Source organism: Homo sapiens, chromosome 12 (genome assembly GCF_000001405.40).
Source record: "Homo sapiens chromosome 12, GRCh38.p14 Primary Assembly".
In the NCBI taxonomy this organism is placed as follows: Eukaryota; Metazoa; Chordata; class Mammalia; order Primates; family Hominidae; genus Homo; species Homo sapiens.
In genome coordinates this window covers 53534456-53558452 of record NC_000012.12, presented here as the reverse complement: position 1 = coordinate 53558452, position 23997 = coordinate 53534456, and the positions used below count along the sequence as shown (strand labels likewise).

Below are 23997 nucleotides of genomic sequence, written 5' to 3'. Positions count from 1 at the left end.
CATGTGTTGGCAGTTTGGAAAAGGAAACTAAAAAGCAGCTTTTTTTCTTATTTCTTTTTCTCTTCCCCTGTTACTCTGTATCAGGGTTTCTCAACAAACACAACTGATATTTTGAGTTATGCAGTTCTTTGTTTTGGGAGGCTGTCCTGTGCACCATACAATATTTATCAGCATCTCAGGCCTCTACCTTCTAGAGGCCAGTAGCATCCTCCCAGTTGTGACAAACAAAAATGTCTCCAAACATTGTCAAATGTCCCATGGGGGACAGAGTTACCTCTGGTTGAGAACCACTGCCACATACTCTAAACTGCATTTAAAGAAAATGGATTTAGGGAGGAAGATTTAAGATTGGTACATGATTAAAATTCCCGTGGGATCTTGGAGCATATTATCTAGATTAGAGCTGTCCAAAAGAAATACAATGCAAACCACAAACGTGAGCCACATAGGTAAGTTTTGATTTTCTAGTAGTTACATTAAAAAGTGAAAGTAAACAAGTGGAACTAATTGTAATAATATATTTTATTTAACCTGGTATATCCAAAATAGTATCATTTTGACATGTAATCAACATAAAAATTATTAACAAGATATTTTACTAAGTCTTTGAAATCCAGTGTGTGTTTTGATTTTCAGTACATTTCAATTCAGACTAGCCACATTGCAAGTACTCAATAGCTATGTGTGGCTAGTCGCTACCATATCAGATAGTGCAGATCTAGATGATCTTAGTCTTCAGATGGGGGTGCAAATTAGTCTTGGCATAAAGGAGAGGAGAGAAACTGTCCTGATTTTGTATTAAGCCTTCTGCTGCCTTGGAGATGGTTATTATATTTACCCTACAGTGAGGGCAAGTGTGTTCCCTGAGTGAGTGGCTATTTGCCAAAACCTTAGACATAGGTAATGCCAAAGAACAAAGGAAGATCCTTTAAGGGTATTAACAAACGAGGGGCTGGGCAGGGTGGCTCACACCTGTAAATCTCCACACTTGGAAAAGCCAAGGCTGGCAGATCACTTGGGCTCAGGAGTTCAAGACCAGCCTGGGCAACATGGTGAAACCCTGTCTCTACAAAAAATACAAAAATTGCCTGAACATGGTGGTGCATGCCTGTAGTCCCAGCTACTCGGGAGGCTGGGGTGGGGGGATTGCGTAAGTCTGGAGGGCAGAGGTTGCAATGAGCCAAGATCGTGCCACTGCACTCCAGCCTGGGCAACAGAGCAAGACCCTGTCTCAAACAAACAAGAAAACAAACAAATAAGGGAACTAGATTTTTTAATGGGGAATAATTTAAAAAGGAAATATTTTGGGGAGTCCCTTCACCCATTTTAATTAAATAGAATATATTTTTACTTAGGTCACGATTTTTATCACTTAGTAACACTTTAGCTATTTTTAGCCAGGCACTATGGTGTGCACCTGTAGTTCCAGCTACTCAGGAAGCTGAGGCAGGAGACTCATTTGAGCCCAGGAGTTCAAGAACAGCCTGGGCAACATAATGAGATCCCATCTTATTAAAAAAATACTATGATAATAATTTTAGCTATTTTAATTGAGAAATTGCTTTCAGAGGGATGGTTTCCTATGAATGAAGTTTATGACTAATCTAGAGAATTTCTTTTTTTCTTATGGGGGTCCATCCCACCATTCCCTTGCCATGAGTAAGGGCGTACCAAGCACCCACAGCCCCCTGGCTTAGGCCCACTCACCCCAGCTGTGGCCAAGGATAGGACAACTGGGACTGAGTATCCTAGAGAATTTCTGAAGTGTTAACTCTTAATAAGTGAGAGAAAATATAAGGACTATGTAAAACATAGCCAGATTAGCAATCACTTTGGTTTTTTTCGTTGTTTTTTTGAGATGGAGTCTTGCTCTTGTTGCCCAGATTGGAGTGCAATGGCACGATCTTGGCTCACTGCAACCTCCACCTCCTGGGTTCAAGCCATTCTGCACCTGGCCTGGCGATCACTTTGACAGAAAGCTTCAGTAAACTTTTATTCTCCCCCTAGGCATATAAGATAAGAATTGTATTAAAAATAGGTTTTGCCATGTTGCCCTGGCTGGTCTCAAACTCCTGCGCTCAAGCGATCCACCTGCCTCGGCATCCCAATGTGCTAGGGTTACAGGTATGCGCCACCATGCCCAGCCTAGAGTAATATTTTTAAATTCATGAAATACATAGGATTACAAGAGAAATTAATGATATTATAATACGGTTTTCAAAAATATATGATAAAAAGGCCGGGCCACTGCACTGGCCAACATCGTAAGTACATTTTGAAAACTTACAGCCCTGCATAAGCTACTACTTGTCATATCTCCTTAAAATTATATTTTTTGGCTGGGTGCAGTGGCTCACACCTGTAATTCCAGCATTTTGGGAGGTCGAGGTGGGTGGATCACCTGAGGTCGGGAGTTCAAGACCAGCTTGGCCAACATGGTGAAATCCCATCTGTACTAAAAATACAAAAATTAGCCAAGTGTGGTAGCAGGCACCTGTAATCCCAGCTATGCAGGAGGCTGAGACAGGAGAATCGCTTGAACCCGGGAGGTGGAGGTTGCAGTGAGCCAAGATTGCGCCATTGGACTCCAGCCTGGGCAACAAGAGCAAAACTCTGTCTCAAAAACAAAACAAAACAAAAAAAGACGGGGCATGATGGCTCACACCTATAATTCTAGCACTTTGGGAGGTCAAGGCAGGCGGATCACCTGAGGTCGGGAATTCGAGACCAGCCTGACCAACATGTAGAAACCCCTTCTCTATCAAAAATACAAAATTAGCCGGGCGTGGTGACGCATGCCTGTAATCCCAGCTACTTGGGAGGCTAGGGCAGGAGAATCACTTGAACTCGGGAGATGGAGGTTGCAGTGAGCTGAGATCGTGCCATTGCACCACTGCACTCCAGCCTGGGCAACAGAGCGAGACTCCGTCTCACAAAAAAAAAAAAAAAAAAAAAAAAAAAATTATATTATTTTCTTCTTTATAAACTAGGTTCTGCTTATTTCCTCTTACCAAATACCTGGCAATCCCAGACCCTCTACAGTGACTTGTTTAACCTACAAATATCATACCCCTGGTTAATACACTATTCCCTCCTTCCCCCAAACCCTCACTCTTTTTTTTTTTTTGAGATGGAGTTTCACTGTTGTTGCCCAGGCTGGAGTGCAATGGCGCAATCTCGGCTCACTGCAACCTCCGTCTACCTGGTTCAAGCGATTCTCCTGCCTCAGCCCCAGCCCCCCGAGTAGCTAGGAGTATAGGCATGTGCCACCATGCCCGGCTAATTCTGTATTTTTAGTAGAGATGGGGTTTCATCATGTTGGCCAGTCTGGTCTCGAACTCCTGACCTCAGGTGATCCACCTGCCTCAGCCTCCCAGTGCTGGGATTACAAGCATGAGCCACCACTCCCGGCCACTTTTTTCTTACGGAAACATCTGTAACTGAAAAAGATGGTGCCTGGAGTTTACCAACAATAGAGAAAACTAAAGTTCTTGGTTAAATTTTTCCACATTTTATTCAGTTTTTGTCCTAGATCAATCAGAAACCACTGAGGCTGTCTTTTTTTTTTTTTTTTTTTTTTTTCTTTTTTTGAGACAAGGTCTTCCTCTGTCACCCAGGCTGGAGCTTAGTGGTGGGATCTCGGCTCACTGCAAACTCCACCTCCCGGGTTCAAGCAATTCTCGTGCCTCAGTCTCCCAAGTAGGTAGGATTACAAGCACCCGCCACCATGCCCAGCTAATTTTTGTGTTTTTTGTAGAGATGGGGTTTTGCCATGTTGGTCATGCTGGCCTCGAACTCCTTACCTTAAGTGATCCACCCACCTAGGCCTCCCAAAGTGCTGGGATTACAGGCATCAGCCACCGCACCTGGCCCTTTTTTGAGAAAGGGTCTCACTGGAGTACAGTGGTGTAATCATGGCTCACTACAGCCTCAACCTCCTGGGCTCCCCCCACCTCAGCCTCCTGAGTAGCTGGAACTACAGGTGAGCATCACCACACCCAGCTAATTTAAAAGTTTTCTGTTGCTGGGCATGGTGGCTCATGCCTGTAATACCAGCACTTTGGGAGGCCAAGGTGAGTGGATCACCTGAGGTCAGGAGTTCAAGACCACCCTGACCAATATGGTGAAACCCCATCTCTACTAAAAATACAAAAATTAGCCGGGCATGGTGGCATGCGCCTGTAGTCCCAGCTACTCAGGAGGCTGAGACAGGAGAATTGCTTGAACATGGGCAGCAGAGGTTGCAGTGAGCGGAGATTGCGCCACTGCACTCCAGCCTGGGCGACAGAGCAAGACTCCGTCTCAAAGATAAATAAATAAATAAAAATAAAACATTTTTGTATAGAAATGGGTTTTTGCCAGATTACCCAGTCTGGTCTTGAACTCCTGGCCTCAAGCAATCTGTCCACCTCAGCCTCCCAAAGTGCTGCAATTACAGGCATGAGCCATCGCGACCAGCCTGGGATTTTGGATCTTAAATTGGCTTTAGTTGTAAATTCAGGTAAAATAAAGTAGTAGAAACAGTTTGGTATTGCTTTCCTGACAGGTAGGAGCTGGATGGGGCCAACTCCCGTGTATTTTGTTTGCAGTCAAGAAGAGCTTTGGAAAAGAAGGCTAAACGTATAGTATTTGGTGAGAAGTATACACGTGATGAAGAAAGTAAAAAGAGACGACTAACCAATCACCATTTTTAGAAGCAAAAAGACAAACGGAACCATGTTTCAGAGCCTCAGTGTGAAGGAGCTGTGGAAAACTGCAGCATCCGGGCTGTTACTGTGTTGCAGTCATGTTTTAATGAAGGAATATGGCCAGGAGCCTCAAAGGGACTTTTGAGAATATTATTCTTTTGAATTACTGCTGTTCATCTGTTCCCTTCACTCTCCCCCTTTTAAGAAGGGGTAGGAGCATAAATTATTGTCCAGTAACCCTATTTTACTTAATCATAAACTGGATAGAGTTAGCCCACTTTTCTTCATTGTCCTTTCACCCAAATCCCAAAAAAATAAAATCTCTATACCATCTCCCTTTCTCTTCCCTCATCCTGCCTACAGGCTCCTCCCTACCCCTAAAAAAATATTTTTTCCTGGCATTTTTATTCTACCATTATATAGTCATCAGCATTGTACTGGCCTTTTTATGGCTGATGGAGCCCAGGCGGGCTGCCCGATGAGGGGAGACAGCATTTGGCCGATGGGGCTGGTATGTGCCATTATTGCTGGCCATTGCGCCTTGGTCCTCTACAGCTCCATCCTGGCTCATTAAAACTCTGAGCCAAATAGCCATGCAGGCGCCTGCTGCAGCACTGTAGGGGCCAAGAAGTTAAATGGTTCTCCTAATCCTGCATAATTTATCTCCCTGTTAGCGCCCTCATAAAAGAGTCCAATTCAGCCCTACCATGGAGGGCTTCATTCTCAATTTCCTATTTTTGTGATGGCCAACTAGTGCCCAGCCCTTCCCTTCTCTATTATTATTATTAAAAATTGCTTCCCCTTGTTCAATACGAGTTTGCCTTAATGTTTTTTTCATTTGGAGCCTCCTACTTGGACCCCACTTTACCAACAATCTGTCCACTTCTGTTGTTTGGACCTGATATTACAGAGCAGTTGGTGTTGTGGTCTTCCCCATCTCCTCTTCTCCCTGCGTTCTAGCACCCTTTTTTCTCCATCTCTTCTCCTCTTCCAGTTTTTTCTCCCTCTCCAGTTCTTCTTTCCAGGGACCAATCTCATTGCAAGATGTTTGGTAGGACATTTTAAAAGGGCACCGAATCGGGTTTTTGTTTTTGTTTTTTCATATCTCCATTTCTGTTTCGTTTCAGAGATTTACAAACGAGGACCACCTGGCAGTTCATAAACACAAGCATGAGATGACATTGAAATTTGGCCCAGCCCGAACTGACTCAGTCATCATTGCAGGTATTTGCTGCCCCAAAAGCCACGTGCCTTGATACCACCAGGCAGTTAAGATTAATACCAGAGACCAGATGTACTGGGAGCTGTACTCCCTTTCTCCCATTAAGAGCCCTTATGTGATCTGCATTTAATCAGGAAAAAGGAACACTAAAAGCTCCCAAGTTTCTCTTGTACCCTCCACTCTATTTTTAATAACAAGGTTGTGTTCTGTGGTTTTTGAAGGTAGGTGTGTTGAGGTTTCGTCTTAGTTTTTTTTCGGTCTATTACCGTCTTTCTTTCTATTTATTAAGACTTTGAAAGATTTACAGACAAAAGATCCCTTTGACATTTTTGCCTACCCACAGCAAAGGGGTGAACAAAAGAATGCAAAAAAAAGCCAATCTAGCCTGGTTGCTTCTCTTCCACTGGGTGTCAGCTTTCCTCCAGCAGGCAGATTGTCAGTTCATAAATTCAACTTCCCTTGTGAACCCAGACACCATTGAGGGCACATTTCCAAAGCTCAAACAAGACATTTAGTCAGTGGGACTTTTCTAAGCCAATTTGGGTGACCTGGAACCTCTCAGCAGTTGTTTTAGATACTGTCTTGCTTGTATATGCCATTCTCAAGGGAGCCCTCTTAGCAACTGCTCTCAAACCAGGCAGCAATTCTGCTGTACCATTTTCAGCTAGGCAGACATACAAACCAAAGTGAGCTTTTTCTTTTGATCCATGAGAGGTTCTGATTTACCTCAATCTAAGCAAGCTTAATTCAATATTTAATTCCTAGGGTGTTTAGTTGGTGGTTATTACATTAGTTAATAACTCATATAAGACACAGTTTCTCAAGTATTACTAGCCAAAATGCTACCATAGACATGGAGAAGGAGAGACAGAACTTCCTCATCATACTTCCATACATGATGAAAGGGACTTACCACTTGCCTTTACAGACCTCCTATTCCTCATTAATTCAGCAGATATTTATTTCATATCTACTGTATACACCAGGCACATTTGCTAGGAGCTTGTAGATTTGTAATCCTTAGGAACAAGACATAAATGGGAACATTGTCGTCAATGATCCCTAAGAAAACCTGGGGGAAGATCAGGTGTGGTGGCTCATGCCTGTAATCCCAATGCTTTGGGAGGCCAAGGCAGGAGGATTGCTTGAGGCTGGGAGTTCGAGACCAGCCTGAGCAGCATAGAGAGACCTTGTCTCTACAAAAAATGTTTAAAAATTAGCTAAATGTGATGATGCATGGCTATAGTCCTAGCTACTTGGGAGGCTGAGGTGGGAAGATAGCTTGAGCCCAGGAGTTTGAGGTTATAGTGTGCTATGACCGTGCTACTGCACTCTAGCCTAGACTACAAAGCAAGACCCTGTCTCTAAAAACAAAAGGAAAACCTGGGGGAGATCTTAGGGAATAGTGGATAGGGTATACATATAGGTCAGACATAATTAATTCAGGGCATATATTCATAAAAAAATTGTAGTATTTGCAGACAAGTATAAGTGAATACTACAAACTATGAATACTAAATGAGTTAATATTAAGTAGAATTAATCAGAGGAAGTTTATCTGAGAGGTAAATTTGGGGCAAGGTTATAAAGTTGGAGAGGTTATTCCAAATGGGTAGAAGGGTCTATACCAAGTCTCCAGGGGTGGTAAGAGAACTTGCTCCAGGATGGTCTCAAGGAGAAAACATGTTCTCCTATTACTATTTGCTTTCAGTTCTGGAATGCTCATCTTGTTGCACATGACTTCAGCTATCATATATCTACGCTGGTAATTCTCACATCTCCAGTTAAGACCTGGTGTGTCATATGTATCCCAACCCCTTATGTGAACACTTACTTGGCTGCCTTTCAAGTCTTTATGTCAATGACTGAACTTAACCTCCTTGTCTCCTAAACCAGCTCCTTCTCCTTTGTTATTCATTAATATCAGTATTCTCAAAATCTTGAGTTGTTTTATTCTTCAAATTCTTTCTATTCTATTCCTTCCTATTCTCCCTGCCATCACCTTCTTTATGCTTGGATTCCTCCAAAGTCTCCTAGCTGGCCTCCTTGATTAGTCTCTCATTCTAATCCATGTTGCATACATACTATTGAAAAGCCAGTCTTCCTTAAATTCTACTCTTCTAGTCAAAATCTATCATTATTTTCCTGTTTTCTCTTTATTTATTTATATTTATTATTTATTTATTTATTTATTTATTTATTTATTTATTTTTTTTTTTGAGACAGGGTCTCACTCTGTTGCCCAGACTGGAGTGCAGTGGCGTAATCTCGGCTCACCACAACCTCCCCCTCCCAGGCTCAAGCGATTCTCCTGCCTCAGTCTCCTGAGTAGCTGGGATTGTAGGCGCGCACCACTACCGATCGGCTAATTTTTGTATTTTTAGTAGAGACGGGATTTCACCATGTTGGCCAGGCTGGTCTTGAACTCCTGGCCTCGAATGATCCACCTGCCTCGGCCTTCCAAAGTGCTGGGATTACAGGCGTGAGCCGCCCCCCTGGGCCCTTTTCTCTTTAAAGCTATTTAAGGCTGGACGCGGTGGCTCACGCCTGTAATTTCAGCACTTTAGAAGGCTAAGGCAAATGGATCACCTGAGGTCAGGAGTTCGAGACCAGTCTCACTAACGAGGTGAAACCCCGTCTCTACTAAAAATACAAAATTAGCCGGGCATGTTGGCTCACGCCCATAATTCCAGCACTTTGGGAGGCTGAGGCAGGCATATCACAAGATCAGGAGTTCGAGACAAGCCTGGCCAACAGAGTGAAACCCCGTCTCTACTAAAAATACAAAAATTAGCCAGGCGTGGTGGCGAGCGCCTGTAGTCCCAGCTACTCGGCAGGCTGAGGCTGAGGCAGGAGAATCACTTGAACCTGGGAGGCAGAGGTTGCAGTAAGCTGAGATCACACCACTGCACTCCAACCTGGGTGACAGAGCAAGACTCCATCTCAAAAAAACAAACAAAAAAAATACAAAATTAGCCTGGCATGGTGGTGCATGCCTGTAATCCCAGATACTTGGGAGGCTGAAGCAGGAGAGTCGCTTGAACTCAGGAGGCGGAGGTTGTGGTGAGCCAAGATTGTGCCATTGCACTCCAGCCTGGGCAATAAGAGCAAAACTCTGTCTTGAAAAAAAAAAAGAAAGGGCTATTTATACCTGGATTTTCAGGCTCTTTATAACCTAGCACCATGGCATTCACCCAAGTTTGAATTTGTTTTTTTTTTGTTTTGGGGGGTATTTTTTTCTTTCTTTTTTTTTTTTGAGACGGAGTCTCGTTCTGTCGCCCAGGCTGGAGTGCAGTGGCGCGATCTCCGCTCATTGCAAGCTGCGCTTCCCGGGTTCATGCCATTCTCCTGCCTCAGCCTCCCGAGTAGCTGGGACTACAGGCGCCCGCCGCCACACCTGGCTAATTTTTTTGTATTTTTAGTAGAGACGGGGTTTCACCGCGTTAGCCAGGATGGTCTCGATCTCCTGACCTCGAGATCTGCCTGCCTTAGCCTCCCAAAGTGCTGGGATTACAGGCATAAGCCACTGTGCCCGGCCGTTTTGGGGGGTATTTTTTGGAGACAGAGACTTGCTCTGTTGCTCAGGCTGGAGTGCAGTGGCACAATCACAGCTCACTGCAGCCTCAAACTCTTGGACTCAAGCCATCCTCCCACCTCACCCTCCCCAGTAGCTGGGACTACAGATGTGCACCACCACACACCCAGCTAATTATTTTATTTTTTGTAAAGATGGGTTCTAGCTTTGTTCCCCAAGTTGGTCTTGAACTCCTTGCCTCAGGCAACCCTCTTGCCTCAGCCTTCCAAAGTGCTGGGAGGCGTGAGCCACCATGCCCAGCAAAGTACTTATTTTTGTACACTATGATGCTTTCTACATATATTAGTTTTATTTTCTCAACTAGAAAGCATTCTCAGCTGAGCACTCTGGCTGACACCTATAATCCCAGCACTTTGAGAGGCCGAGGTAGGAGGATCACTTGAGCCCAGGAGTTAGAGGCCAGCCTGGGCAACGTAGCAAGACCCCATCTCTACAAAAAAATTTTAAAATTAGCCAGGTGTGGTGGCGCATGCACGTAGTCCCAGCTACTTGGGAGTCTGAGGCAGGAGAATCACTTGAACCCAAGAGATTGAGGTTACAGTGAGCTATGATCATGCCACTGCATTCACTGGATGACAAATCGAGACCTTGTCTCTAAAAAAGAATAAAGAAAGAAGAAAAAAGAAAACGTTCTCTGGGGCCTAGCGACACAGTGGCTCACACCTGTAATCCCAGTGCTTTGGAAGGCACAGGTAGGAGGATTGCTTGAGGCCAGGAGTTCAAGGCCAGCCCTGGGCAACATGAGACCCATCTTAACAAAAAATTTTAAAAATTAGCCTCAGGCCGGGCACAGTGCCTCACGCCTACAATCCCAGCATTTGGGGAAGCAGAGGCAGAATGATTGCTTGAGGCCAGGAGTCCAAGACCAGCCTGGGCAACACAATGAAGGCCCCCTCTCTACCAAAAAAAATAGCTAGGCATGGTGGCACTCACCTGTACTCCCAGCTACTCAGGAGGCTGAGGTAGGAGATCACTTGCATTCAGGAGTTCGAGGCTGCAGTGAGCTGTGATTATGCCACTGCCTCCAGCCTGGGTGACGACAGAGTGAGACCCTGTATTTAAAAATACATACATACATACATAGCTATAATCACACCACTGCACTCCAGCCTGGATAACAGAGTGAGACCCTGTATCTAAAAATAAATACATCATACATACATACATACATACATACATACATACATACATACATACATAAAATTAGCCGAGCATGGTGGTGCACACCTGTAGTCCTAGCTACTTGGGAGGCTGAGACAGAAAGATTGCTTGAGCCCAGGAGTTCAAGGTTTCAGTGAACCATGATCATGCCATTGCACTCCAGCCTGGGTGACAGAGCAAGACTGTCTCTTAAAAGAAAATGACCAAGTGTGGTGGCTCACACCTACAATCCCAGCACTTTGGGAGGCTGAGGTGGGCAGATCACTTGAGGTCAGGAGTTCAAGACCAGCCTGGTCAACATGATGAATCCCTGTCTCTACTAAAAATACAAAAATTAACTGGGCATGGTGGTGCACACCTGAAATCCCAGCTACTTGGGAGGCTGAGGCAGGAGAATCACTTGAACCCGGGAGGCGGAGGTTGCAGTGAGCCAAAATTGTACCACTGCATCCAAACTAGGTAACAGAGTGAGACTCTGTCTCAAAAAAAAAAAAAAAAAAAAAGGCTGGGCACGGTGGCTCACACCTGTAATCCCAGCACTTTGGGACACTGAGGCGGGTGGATCACAAGGTCAGGAGATCGAGACCATCCTGGCTAACACAGTGAAACCCCATCTCTACTAAAAATACAAAAAATTAGCCAGGCATGGTGGCGGGCGCCTGTAGTCCCAGCTACTCGGGAGGCTGAGGCAGGAGAATGGCATGAACCCGGGAGGTGGAGCTTGCAGTGAGCCAAGATCATGCCACTGCACTCCAGCCTGGGCTACAGAGAGAGACTCTGTCTCAAGGAAAAAAAAAAAAAAAAAAAAAGAGCCAGCCTGGGCAGCATAAAGAAACCCCATCTCTACAAAAAAATACAAAAATTAGTTAGGCATGATGGCGCACACCTGTGGTCCCAGCTACTTGGGAGGCTGAGGTGGGAGGATCACTTGAGCCTAGGAGGCAGAGGCTGCAGTGAGCCGAGATCGTGTCACTGCTCTCCCGCCTGGGTGGCAAAGTGAGATCTTGTCTCAAAAAAAGAAAAAAAAAAGAAAAAGAGGCCAGGTGCGGTGGCTCATGCCTGTAATCCCAGCACTTTGGGAGGCTGAGGCAGGCAGATCACTTGAGGTCAGGAGTTTGAGACCAGCCTGGCCAACATTGTGAAACCCTGTCTCTACTAAAAATACAAAAAATTAGCCGGGCATGGTGGCATGCACCTGTAATCTCAGCTACTCGGGAGGCTGAGGCAGGAGAATCACGTGATCCTGGGAGGTGGAGGTTGCAGTGAGCCGAGATCACATTGCTGCACTCCAGCCTGGGTGACAAAGCAAGACTGTCTCAAAAAAAAAAAAGAAAGAAAGAAAAGAAAACATCATCTTAATTTTCAACAGCCAAAAGCCATATTTTCTTTTTTCTCCTGTTTTTTGTTTTTTTTGAGACAGGTTCTGGCTCTGTCACTAGGGTGAACTGCAGTGGCACAATCTTGGCTCACTGCAACCTCTGCCTCCCAGGCTTAACCCAATCTCTGAAAAAACTAGGATCACAGACATGTACCACCACACCGGTTAATTTTTGTTGGTTGTTTTTTGTTTGTTTGTTTGTTTGTTTGTTTTTTTGAGATGGAGTTTCATTCTTGTTGCCCAGGCTAGAGTGCAATGGTGCAATCTCAGCTCACTGCAACCTCTGCCTCCCAGGTTCAAGCAATTCGCCTGCCTCAGCCTCCCAAGTAGCTGAGATTACAGGCATGCGCCACCATGCCTGGCTAATTTTGTATTTTTAGTGGAGACAGGGTTTCTCCATGTTGGTCAGGCTGGTCTCAAACTCCCGACCTCAGGTGATCCACTTGCCTCGGCCTCCCATAGTGTTGGGATTACAGGCGTGAGCCACCGCACCCAGCCAATTTTTGTATTTTTTGAAGAGATGGAGTTTCACCATGTTGCCCAGGCTGGTCTTGAACTCCTGAGCTCAAGGGGGGATCCGCCTGCCTTGGCCTTCCAAAGTGCCAGGATTACAGGCCTTAGCCACTGCCCCAGCCTAAGAGCCATGTCTTAAATCTGGGCAGTACTCCTATATTCCTATCCCTCCCCTCCCCCAAACATATGCATGCTACAAGTGTATGCATGTAGCACCAAAACATATAGAAAGTATTCAGTAAAAACTTACTGATTTTTTTGGCTAGGCGCGGTGGCTCACGCCTATAATCCCAGCACTTTGGGAGGCCGAGGAGAGCAGATCACCTGAGGTTGGGAGTTCGAGACCAGCCTGACCAACATGGAGAAACCCCGTCTCTACTAAAAATACAAAATTAGCCAGGCATAGTGGCGCGCGCCTGCAATCCCAGCTACTTGGGAGGCTGAGGCAGGAGAATCCCTTGAACTTGGGAGGCAGAGATTACGGTGAGGCGGAGGTTGCAGTGAGCTGAGATTGCGCCATTGCACTCCAGCCTGAGCAACAAGAGGGAAACTCTGTATCAAAACAAAACAAAACAAACACTTACTGATTTTTTTAGGATTCATTAGAGCAGGTTCAGGGTTCTCTGATATATTTGCAGTCTGTTTGTTCACAAACCAGAGCCATTTGAAAGTTAGAGGCCACCTGCAAAGTGAGGAATTAGGTTTAACACAGGAGAGCCTTTAAAAAACCAGAAATGAGCCTGAACAGCAGGGTGCAGGAGAAGTTCGTTTGAACCTCATATCAAAGGTCTGAAAGTCCCTCCTCTGCCATAGCCATGCCCTTAGCTGCCCCCTCCTGTTCCACTTGAGTTATGATTTTGGGTATGCCCTTACTAAAGTACTCTCTAAGCATAAAGGATGATACTACTTCTACTCATCCAGGGATGGAGGGAAAGTGGCTTTATCGTTAGCCAACCAAAGCTGCCAGAGTACCTTTTAAAACTATTTTTGAGAAGTAGTGGTAACTTTTCCAAACACTCTGATTCAGAAGAGGTTTTGTTTAAATTTTTTTATAAAAATTGTGCTGTTTCCATGGAAAATCCCATTGGACTATTTTCAATTGATCAGGCTAGAAGGGGTGTTTTTGGGTTTTTTTGTTTGTTTTTTTGAGACAGAGTCTCACTCTGTCACCCAGGCTGGAGTGCAGTGGCAGTGATCTCGGCTTACTGCAACCTCCACCTCCTGGGTTCAAGAGATTCTCCTGCCTCAGCCTCCTGAGTAGCTGGGACTACAGGCACCTGCCACTATGCCCACCTAATTTTTGTATTTTTTTGTAGAGATGGAGTTTCACCATGTTGGCCAGGCTGGTCTCAAACTTCTGACCTCAAGTGATACACCCATCTCAGCCTCCCAACGTGCTGGGATTACAGGCATGAGCCACTGCGCCCAGCCAAGAAGGGGTGATCTTAACCCCAGGTCTCACTCCTTAAAATATCATTTAAACATTGTTCTGTATTTCTGTCATTCATTCTAGCGGTTTGGGGTATGAGATGAATCCCTGAAGTAGCATGCCAATGAAACCCATCGTAATAGAGTTAGGATCTGTGAACAAGATTCAGGTCTAAAAAAGCAGGATTGGGAGGGAGAATGTAAAATTCAAGTTGCTTAAAAAGTTCCCATGGGTTACCAAGAGCCTTTCTCTTCAGAAGGGCAGAGGCACTGTGTTGAGGAGAGACTCGTGCAGCCCCTGTGGGCATATTTTGGCTGGCAAATCTAAATCCGAATACCCTGGTTTCAGGAACTTGCTCTGGGCCTAGGTCTCTGTGAAATTAGGTCTATTGTTTACAGTTTCCTTTTCCAGCTCATGATCTTGCTGTCTTACTCCTCAGCCCCTAGATTTGCCTGGAATCCTTCAGAAGGTAACAGACCATTATTACCTCAGTGACCACTGAAAGACAAGGCACTATTTCTTACTCGGTAGCTTTAGTCAGCAAACTCAACCATCTGATCCTCAGTTTCTTCTCATCAGATTTTAACATCCATCTGCTTTTTCTGCTCACTTCAGACCTAGCAGGGAGTAAATTTACGAAAGAAAATATTGCTTAACTATACTTGGTTTTCAAATCTAGAGGTTTCACAAAACTGTGTCACCTGTGTGGGTGGTTTGGTTTGGTTGGAGGTAAACGAGGTAAAACTAGCACTGAGAGAAAAGTGGGTACGTGGATAGTCACACAACAAAATACTGTTCGGTCTTCCCCCTGCTGGCTTTGAGGCAACACAACACAGACACCCTCTGGTGGCCTACACCAGCCTTCGCCTACTAGAGCTCCATTAAAGCAAATTTGCCCTAACACAAAGACTCTCTCTCCAAATCAAAAAGTACAAATGCATTCTCTATATACTATTTAATATCAAGTTTTAATTTCAGATCAAAACTAAAACAGTTTCCTTTTCTTTCATGTCTACAGATCAAACGCCTACTCCAACTAGATTCCTGAAGAACTGTGAGGAGGTGGGACTCTTCAATGAACTAGCTAGCTCCTTTGAACATGAATTCAAGAAAGCTGCAGATGAGGATGAGAAAAAGGCAAGAAGCAGGACTGTTGCCAAAAAACTGGTGGTATTCAGACCTAGGCTATTTTTATTGTGCTTTGGGATAATTTTCTTAATTGGTTAAAACACAAAATCATGGGCTTAGTAGAGTAAAACCAGTAAAACCAGATAGTAGTCACTAATCCCAGTCAGCCATTCAGGTCTTTAGGAGTTCCAGATGATGGATCAGCACAAGTCTGTCGTCACCGAAAATTAGTCCTCTTGTTCTTCCAGGGGAGTATTAGTTTAATAATCGGTTTTTTAAAAAATATTTATATTATAAATATGTTGAAGATGTTAAAAGGTGATAAATTACTCAGATTTTGTTGGATAACATATTTGTTGCCAAATTCCACTCTTTTCTGAGCTGATCAGACTTCTCAGCTACACTGTTTTTTTGAATCAGCAAGTCAATAAACATTTATCAAATTTCCACTCTTCTTTGTTTCAATATATGTGGTTTTTGCCTTTAAGTAGCTTTCTACTATTATTCAAAGCATTAAAGATAAAGAAGGATGTTCCTACTGTCTTTCAAAGGAGATCAACCAGGACGGTGAAAGAACTATAAACTATGTCACTTCGGGAACTTTTAAAGAAATCAAGTGGCCAAGCACATTGGCTCATGCTTGTAATCCCAGCACTTTGGGAGGCCAAGGTGGGAGGATTACAGGAGTTCAAGACCAGCCTTGGCAATAGCAGGACCTCCATGTTTACAAAAACAGTTTTAAAGATTGATCAGGCATGGTGGTGCATGCCTGTAGTCCTAGCTACTCGGGAGGCTGAAGCAGGAAGATTGCTTGAACCCAGGAGTTCAAGGCTGCAGTGAGCTATGATTGCACCACTGTGCTCCAGCCTGGGTGACAGAGTGAGACCCTATCTCTCTCTTTTTTTTTTTTTGAGACAAGAGTCTTGCTCTGTTGCCCAGGCTGGAGTGCAGTGGCACGATCTCAGCTCACTGCAAGCTCCGCCTCCCAGGTTCACGCCATTTTCCTGCCTCAGCTTTCCGAGTAGCTGGAACTACAGGCGCCCACCACCACACCTGGCTAATTTTTTTTTTATGTTTAGTAGAGACGGGGTTTCACCGTGTTAGCCAGGATGGTCTCGATCTCCTGACCTCGTGATCTGCTCACCTCGGCCTCCCAAAGGGCTGGGATTACAGGCGTAAACCACCACGCCTGGCCCGGAGACCCTATCTCTTAAAAAAAAAAAAAAAAAAACAGGCCAGGCGCAGTGGCTCACACCCGTAATCCCAGCACTTTGGGAGGCCAAGGCAAGCAGATCACAAGACCAGCCTGACCAACATGGCGAAACCCCATCTCTACTAAAAATACAAAACTTAGCCAGGCGTGGCGGCGCACGCCTGTAATCCCAGCTACTCAGGAGGCTGAGACAGGAGAATCACTTGAACCCGGGAGGCAGAGGTTGCAGTGAGCTGAGATCATGCCACTGCATTCCAGCCTGGGCGACAGAGTGAGACTTTGTCTCAAAAACAAGAAAGAAATTGAGGAAATTTTGGTTGGAAAAGAGATCTAGTGTGAACAAATTGCGATCTTCAAGAGTATTCATTAAAAGAGGGATTACATTTATTCCATGTGGTCTAAAGGGAGAAGTAGGACCACTGGGTGGAAGCTGTCACAAAATATGTTCAATTATATGTAGACCACTTAGTAGAGATATTGTAGAGGGGATTAAAATGCTGGAATCCCTTCTAATCCTGAGGCGCTATGATTCTCTGATTTTAGCCTTTATATAGTTCAGATCCCTAGATAATCCCTTAGTTTGGAAGACGAGAGGAAATACTTGAAGAAGCAGAGTCAAAGGAAGATAGTTCCCATGGAATAAGGGGCTTGGGGGAAAAAGAAAAATGCAAAGATCAAATTTTACTTTAGAATTAGAATTCTAGGTTATTGGTCACTATTTTTAAAATCAAGTCTGTGTTCCTGATTTTCTGGAATCATAAAAGATTCCAACATCTGTATCCCAAAACATATATATAAACACATTAACCTCACAATTGCATGGTATAGTGAAGCATGGGATCCTATCAGAATATAGAATAGCTGGAACCGCTTCTATTTTTCCCTATATTTAAGAAAAAATTTCCATGGGAGCTCTTTCCTTCTAAGAGGGCATACATAGCAGGTAAATCAAGATAGTTATACATGACTTTTCCATCCAGTTTAAGTGGTAAGAAAGCAAGATAGTGTCTTTATCACTGGAGTTATTTCCAAGTTCCATAGATTTCTATGAGTTTCTTTTTATGCTATCTCCCTTAAACTAACAGAAAGAGGGCTGCGCGAGGCCTGGTGGTTCACACCTGTAATCCCAGTGCTTAGGGAGGCCACACAGGAGGATTGCTGGAACTCAGGAGCTCGAGACCAGCCTGAGCAGCATGGTGAGACCTATCTCTACAAAAAATTTAAAAATCAGCTGAGTGTGGTAGCACACGCCTATGATCCTGGCTACTTAGGAGGCTGAGCCTAGGAGGTCAAGGTTGCAGTTAGCCATGATTGAACCACTGCACTCCAGCCTGGGCAGTGGAACAACACCCTGTCTTTATTTATTTTATTTTATTATTATTTATTATTATTATTTTTTTGAGACAGAGTCTCCCTCTGTCACCCTGGCTGGAGTGCAGTAGCGCAATCTCGGCTTACTGCAACCTCCACCTCCCAGGTTCAAGCGATTCTCCTGCCTCAGCCTCCCGAGTACCTGGGATTACAGGTGCATGCCACGACGCCTGGCTAATTTTTTTGTATTTTTAGTAGAGATAGGGTTTTGCCATGTTGCCCAGGCTGGTCTCAAACTCCTGAGCTCAAGCAATCTGTCCACCTCAGCCTCCCAAAGTGCTGGGATTATAGGCGTGAGCCACCGCGCCTGGCCCAGACCCTGTCTTTAAATAAATTAATAAAGCAGGGAAACTCAGTAGCACATATTTGTAGTTCTACTTTTTTTTCTTTTTTTTTTTTTTTGAGACGGAGTCTCACTCTGTCATCCAGGTGGAGTGCAGTGGTGCGATCATGATGGCTCACTGCAACCTCCACCTCCTGAGTTCAAGTGATTATCCTGTCTCAGCCTCCCAAGTAGCTGGGACTACAGGTCCATGCCACCATGCCTGGCTAATTTTTGTATTTTTAGTAGAGACAGGGTTTCACCATGTTGGCCTGGCTGGTCTCGAACTCTTGACCTCATGATCCACCCACCTCAGCTTCCCAAAGTGCTGGGATTACAAGCATGAGCCACTGTGCCTGGCCTCGTATTTTTTTTGAGACAGAGCCTCACTCTGCTGCCCAGGCTAGAGTGCAATGGTGCTTGCAACCTCAAACTCCCAGGCTCAAGTGATCCTCCCGCCTCAGTCCCTGGAGTAACTAGGACTACAGGCACTCACCACCACACCCAGCTAATTTTTGCATTTATTTTTAGAGATGGGGTTTTGCCATGTTGCCCACACTGGTCTTGAACTCCAGGGCTCAAGAGATCCACTAGCCTCAGCTTCCCAAAGTGCTGAGATAACAAGCGTGAGCCACCACACCTGGTCTTGTAGTTCTGCTTTCAAATGGCAGAACTAGCCACAGTCTTTTTGTCATTTTTTTTCATTCATTCATTCATTCATTCATTCATTCATTCATTCATTCATTGACAGGATCTTGCTCTGTCTCCCAGGCTAGAGTGCATTGGTAGAATCTTGGCTCACTGCAGCCTCCACCTCCTGAGCTTAACCAGTTCTCCCACCTCAGCCTCCCAAGTAGCTGGGACTACAGGCGCGTACCACCATGCCTGACTAATTTATTTTCATAGAGACAGGGTCTCACTATGTTGCACAGGCTGGTCTCAAACTCCTGGGCTCAAGCAATCCTCCCACCTCGAATTCCCAAAGTGCTGAGATTACAGGCATGAGCCACCACACCTGTCCAAGAAAGGGTTTTGCTATTTGCACAGGCTGGTCTAGAATTTCGGGCCTCAGGTGATCCTCCCACCTTGGCCTCCCAAAGTGTTGAGATTACAGGCATGAGCCACCACACTTGGCCTATGAGGGATTTTATACCCAATTTATTATAGGCAAATTCAAGAAAATTAGCTTCCCATAAAAAGCTTCAAGTCTTTTTCATTGCCATTTTAGCTCAGTTGACACTTCTGGGAGACTAGTTTATAGTCAGCCCTTTCCTCACTGGGCATTCCTTGGTGTATCCTCCTGCCTGTACAGGAGTGGTCTTTACTTCCCCTTAATGAGAAGTACAGGCTCAGTGGAAGAGTCTCCAGAAGTGTTTAATGAGTGTGGAACTTTGCTGAACCGCAGCTTTGCTAGGAGATGCCCTAGAGGATTTCAAATCTATGGTTGTATTTACTTAGAGGCTTCTCCTTCCCACTAGTCTCTGACTTAAGAGATCTCAGAATTAGCTAAATTGGACCTGACATCTTAGCTATGTAGAAAAAATGAGGCAGAAATGAAGCTACTTTTGCTGTTGCTCACCCTCCTCAGATTGGGGAAAATGAACCACTACTACCTTCTCTAATGTAGTAGATATCACATTATCTTTAATTTACTCAGCTAGCTATCAAGAAGGTTTCTAAGGGTTAGGGTAGCAAGGGAAGATCTTGAAACAAGCAGTTGCTTCACCAAGAAGCCTGGGATACAGGATAGATAGAACAAAGGATCCACTTTGTTATGAAACTGAACTGCAATGCCAACCCTCCTATCCTGGTTCAGTGTCAAGGCCATTATCTCAGATGGTTTATTGTTCCCTGCAAGGCCGTTTACAGCTCCACAGTTCTGTGAGGTGATTGCATCACTGCCAGGAAAGTGCTCTCTTTCCTTTCTGGTTTTCTCCAGTCTTGCTCCTAAGACCAAGTTGTCATTTATTTCACCAATCAGATGATCAGCCTTTCTTTTCTGTTACCCCAAACCCCTTGTCTACCTGATACATCCAGCACCATATTTTGGGGTGAGATCACCATCAAGCATGGTGAGTTCCCCAGAAAATACCTTTCCTATCTGGTTTGCAGTACTTGAATAGCCAGTTTGTCTTTGTTTGCTTTTGGTAATTGGGTAATCCTTGTTGGCAGAGAAAGTGTTCACAGCTCTCCAGTGGCCAGCAGATTCAGGAATTATTTTGATTTCCTGAAAAATATTATCATAATATTTGCATGGATTTAAATGGCATCTTTTTTTTCAGGTCTTTATAAATATTTGTTTACCATTGGTGAAGCAGGTATTATCTTCATCTTATAGTTGGGGAAACAGAAGCCCTGAGAATTACCGACAAAATGATTTGGCCAGAATTGTACATAAAACATAAGGGGCCCATATTTCTTGGCCGGATGCAGTGGCTCATTCCTGTAATCCCAACACTTTGGGAGGCTGAGGCAGGTGAATCACCTGAGGTCGGGAGTTCGAGATCAGCCTGACCAACATGGAGAAACCCCATCTCTATTAAAAATAAAAAATTAGCTGGGCGTGGTGGCACATGCCTATAATCCCAGCTACTTGGGAGGCTGAGGCGGGAGAATCTCTTGAACTTGGGAGGTGGAAGTTGCAGTGAGACGAGATCACACCATTGCACTCTAGCCTGGGCAACAAGATTGAAACTACGCCTCAAAATACAAAACAAATCAAACATAAGGGGCCCACATTTATTTGACATGCAGTTCAGTGCATTGTATAAGAGCAGAACTTCTTAGAAGCATATTCCCTTATCTTGGAAATGGGAAAATATAGATTCAACCTGAAAGGAATCATAGGGTTAAACTCTGTTCATTTTTCTTTCACAACAGGCTGCTGCTGGGCCCCTTGACATGTCTCTGCCTTCCACACCAGACATCAAAATCAAAGAAGAAGAGCCAGTGGAGGTAGACTCATCCCCACCTGATAGCCCTGCCTCTAGTCCCTGTTCCCCACCACTGAAGGAGAAGGTAAATTCTCTACCAAGGATCATCTCAAATGTTAATTGATAAAGTTTTGATTCATTAATTATATAAATAGTATGTCCTAACTACTCAGGAGGCCAAGATGGGAGAATCACTTGAGCCCAGAAATTCAAGACCAGCCTGGGCAACATGGAGAAACCCCATCTCCACTTAAAATACAAAAATTACCTGGGCGTGGTGGAGCATGCCTGTAGTTCCAGCTACTTGAGAGTATGAGGTGGAGGATCACTTAAGCCCTAGAGGTCGAGGCTGCAGTGAGCTGTGATTGCTCCACTGCACCCCAGCCTGGGCAACAGAGTGAGACTGTCTCAAGAAAAAAAAAAGTATGTATTATAGGAGGACCGATTGTATTTAAAGGAATATTTAGAAGATTTATATAAATTATACCTATTCTCCTTCCCAGCAATTTCACTTATAAGTCTATATGGAAGAGAAATTAGTGCATATGTCTACCAAAAGAAGTATGTTAGAATGTTCATAGCAATTGTATTCTTTTGTTGTTGTTGTTGTTGTTGAGACAGTCTCACTCTGTCACCCAGGCTGGAGTGCAATGGCGTGATCTTGGCTCACTGCAACCTCTGCCTCCCAGGTTTGAGCGATTCTCCTGCCTCAGCCTCCCAAGTAGCTGGGACTACAGGTGCGTGCCACCACGCCCGGCTAATTTTTGTACTTTTAGTAGAGATGGGGTTTCACCACATTTGTCAGGCTGGTCTCGATCTCCTGACCTCAGGCGATCTGCCCGCCTCGGCCTCCCAAAGTGCTAGGGTTACAGGATTGAGCCACCGCGCCCGGCCAGCAATTGTATTCTTAATAGCCAAAAATCAGTCAGGCACGGTGGCTCATGCCTGTAATCCCAGCACTTTGGGAGGCCGAGGTGGTGGAATCACTTGAGGCCAGGAGTTCAAGACCAGCCTGGCCAACATAGTGAAACCCCATCTCTACCAAAAATACAAAAATTAGCTGGATGTGGTGGTGTGTGCCTATAATCCCAGCTACTCGGGAGGCTGAGATAGGAGAATTGCTTGAACCCAGGAGGCCAGGGTTTCAGTGAGCCAAGATTGCACCATTGCACTCCAGCCTGAGCGACAGAGCAAAACTCCGTCTCAAAAAAAAAAAAAAAGTGAACTAATAATTACACAGCAATGTGAGTGAATCCCACAAACATATCCAACAACAACAAAAAAGTCATACACAAAAGTACATACTTATAAAATTCAAGAAGAGGCAAAACTGTTTGACAATGATAGAACTCAGGATAGCATTTACCTCCTGTGAAGGAATGGTGTGGATTGGAAAGGGACATAGAACTTTCTGGGGTGCTGGAAATGGTCTGTATCCTGATTTTACATCTGTAACAAGTCATCTTTTTTTTTTTTTCTTTTGAGAGAAAGTCTTGCTCTGATGCCCAGGCTGGAGTGCAGTGGTGCAATCTCAGCTCACTGCAACGTCTGCCTCCCAGGCTCAAGCAATTCTCTTGCTTCAGCCTCCCAAAGTGCTGCGATTACAGACGTGAGCACCGCACCCAGCCTAAAAGTCATTTTGTTGTTATGACTTTAATGCACATCACTGTATGTTATACTTCAATTAATAAGTGAGAAAGAAAAATTCACATAATTCATAAATTGGACATCTAACAGTTTCGAAAAAATGTCATCCTAGAGAGAAGTGATTTAAAGGAAGTATCTACTAGAAGTCTGATGATTATTCTTTTTAAAGGAAGTACTTTCATGAAGTACTATTTTTAATACATTTATTGAAATATAGTACATGTACAGAAAAGTATATAAATTGTAATTATATCACTTACTGAATTTTCACGAAGTCAGTAGTCTGTATAACCAGCACCTAGATCAAAAACATTTTCTTAGAACCTCAGAAGCCCCCTCATGCTTCCTCCTTCTTTCAATCTACTGCTCTGCCAGTGGTTGTTAATTTTAACATCCACTATGGATAGAGCATCTATATCTCATGTTACTTCCCTCCAAATTTGACTTGATAACTTCTCAAATCTGTCTTCTCATAAACATTACAACCATCCCATCTCCTCCCTTTTCTTTTTTTTTTTTTTTTTGAGGCAGAGTCTCGCTCTGTCGCCAGGCTGGAGTGCAGTGGTGCGATCTCAGCTCACTGCAACCTCCTCCGCCTCTCTCCTCCCTTTTCATCAGCAACAAAGTCCTACAGACTGTCTGGGGATGCTGTCAAGGCCATTTGACCACTGGCAGTCTAAGATCTTAAGAAGTTAACAATGAGAGCAGTTTGTTTTATTACAGTATGATCATTATCCAAACTTCCATAGCCCTTTTTTAAGAGGTGTGTTGGAGATGTTGGGTTGCCTCATTACCATCATTACCAGTATACCTGCCTTTTCCCACTGAAGTTCAGAGGACACTTGGTATCAAGTTTAGAATGAGAGTATCTAGATTGTGAAAAATTATAACAGTCTCTAGAATTTATATGGTACTACAGTGCTGCTTCAGAGATTTCAAGTGATATTCCAACTGTCATCTTATTTATGTAGCCATTGTCTCTGAAAGGGGAGATGACCAAGAGATCTTAATACACCATTCCTCCTGAATGGATGAGTGAGTTATGGGTCCCTGATCCTGATGGAATCAGGTCATGATTTAATGAGTGGCTCTAATGCTCTTTCCAATAAATTTGTACTAGATTTTACCATCTATATATTTCCCTATAAGCACACCTTAAAACATTTTGTGATCTGTTGGTTTCTTTTCTCCAGGAGGTTACCCCAAAGCCTGTTCTGATCTCTACCCCCACACCCACCATTGTACGTCCTGGCTCCCTGCCTCTCCACTTGGGCTATGATCCACTTCATCCAACCCTTCCCTCCCCAACCTCTGTCATCACACAGGCTCCACCATCCAACAGGCAAATGGGGTAAGTACAGAGAGCAGGGAGAAGTAGTGAAGGCTGCATTTCTTTC

General features: G+C 44.3%; 2 protein-coding genes and 1 long non-coding RNA gene across 16 annotated transcripts in view; 2 read left to right on the top strand and 1 right to left on the bottom strand.

Moving 5' to 3' along the window:
- Window positions 1-23087, bottom strand: part of LOC124902937 (uncharacterized) — a 50712-nt gene extending 27625 nt beyond the window's left edge. Inside the window, exons 1-3 of one of the 2 annotated variants that reach the window (XR_007063317.1) lie at window positions 22861-23087; window positions 20113-20247; window positions 13205-13239 (exon numbers count right to left, since the gene is read on the bottom strand). This is a non-coding gene — a long non-coding RNA (uncharacterized LOC124902937). Of the gene's footprint in view, window positions 1-13204; window positions 13240-20112; window positions 20248-22860 lie in introns of those variants that run through there. The other variant, XR_007063316.1, reaches the window with a different exon arrangement.
- Window positions 1-23997, top strand: part of ATF7-NPFF (ATF7-NPFF readthrough) — a 119695-nt gene that overhangs the window by 67930 nt on the left and 27768 nt on the right. For all 3 annotated transcript variants that reach the window (NR_159377.1, NM_001366560.1, NM_001366559.1), the window contains exons 3-6: window positions 5816-5912; window positions 15005-15123; window positions 20901-21038; window positions 23794-23951. Coding sequence is in view for 2 of the 3 variants with exons in the window: in NM_001366560.1 (NP_001353489.1) it covers window positions 5816-5912; window positions 15005-15123; window positions 20901-21038; window positions 23794-23951 (512 nt within the window). In the remaining variant the exon portion in view is untranslated. The remainder of the gene's footprint in view (window positions 1-5815; window positions 5913-15004; window positions 15124-20900; window positions 21039-23793; window positions 23952-23997) is intronic.
- Window positions 1-23997, top strand: part of ATF7 (activating transcription factor 7) — a 118527-nt gene that overhangs the window by 67930 nt on the left and 26600 nt on the right. For 3 of the 11 annotated variants that reach the window (NM_006856.3, NM_001366556.2, NM_001366558.2), the window contains exons 3-6: window positions 5816-5912; window positions 15005-15123; window positions 20901-21038; window positions 23794-23951. In NM_006856.3, the coding sequence (NP_006847.1) occupies window positions 5816-5912; window positions 15005-15123; window positions 20901-21038; window positions 23794-23951 (512 nt within the window). Of the gene's footprint in view, window positions 1-5815; window positions 5913-15004; window positions 15569-20900; window positions 21039-23793; window positions 23952-23997 lie in introns of those variants that run through there. The other 8 variants (NM_001206682.2, NM_001206683.1, NM_001366562.2 and 5 more) reach the window with 5 other exon arrangements.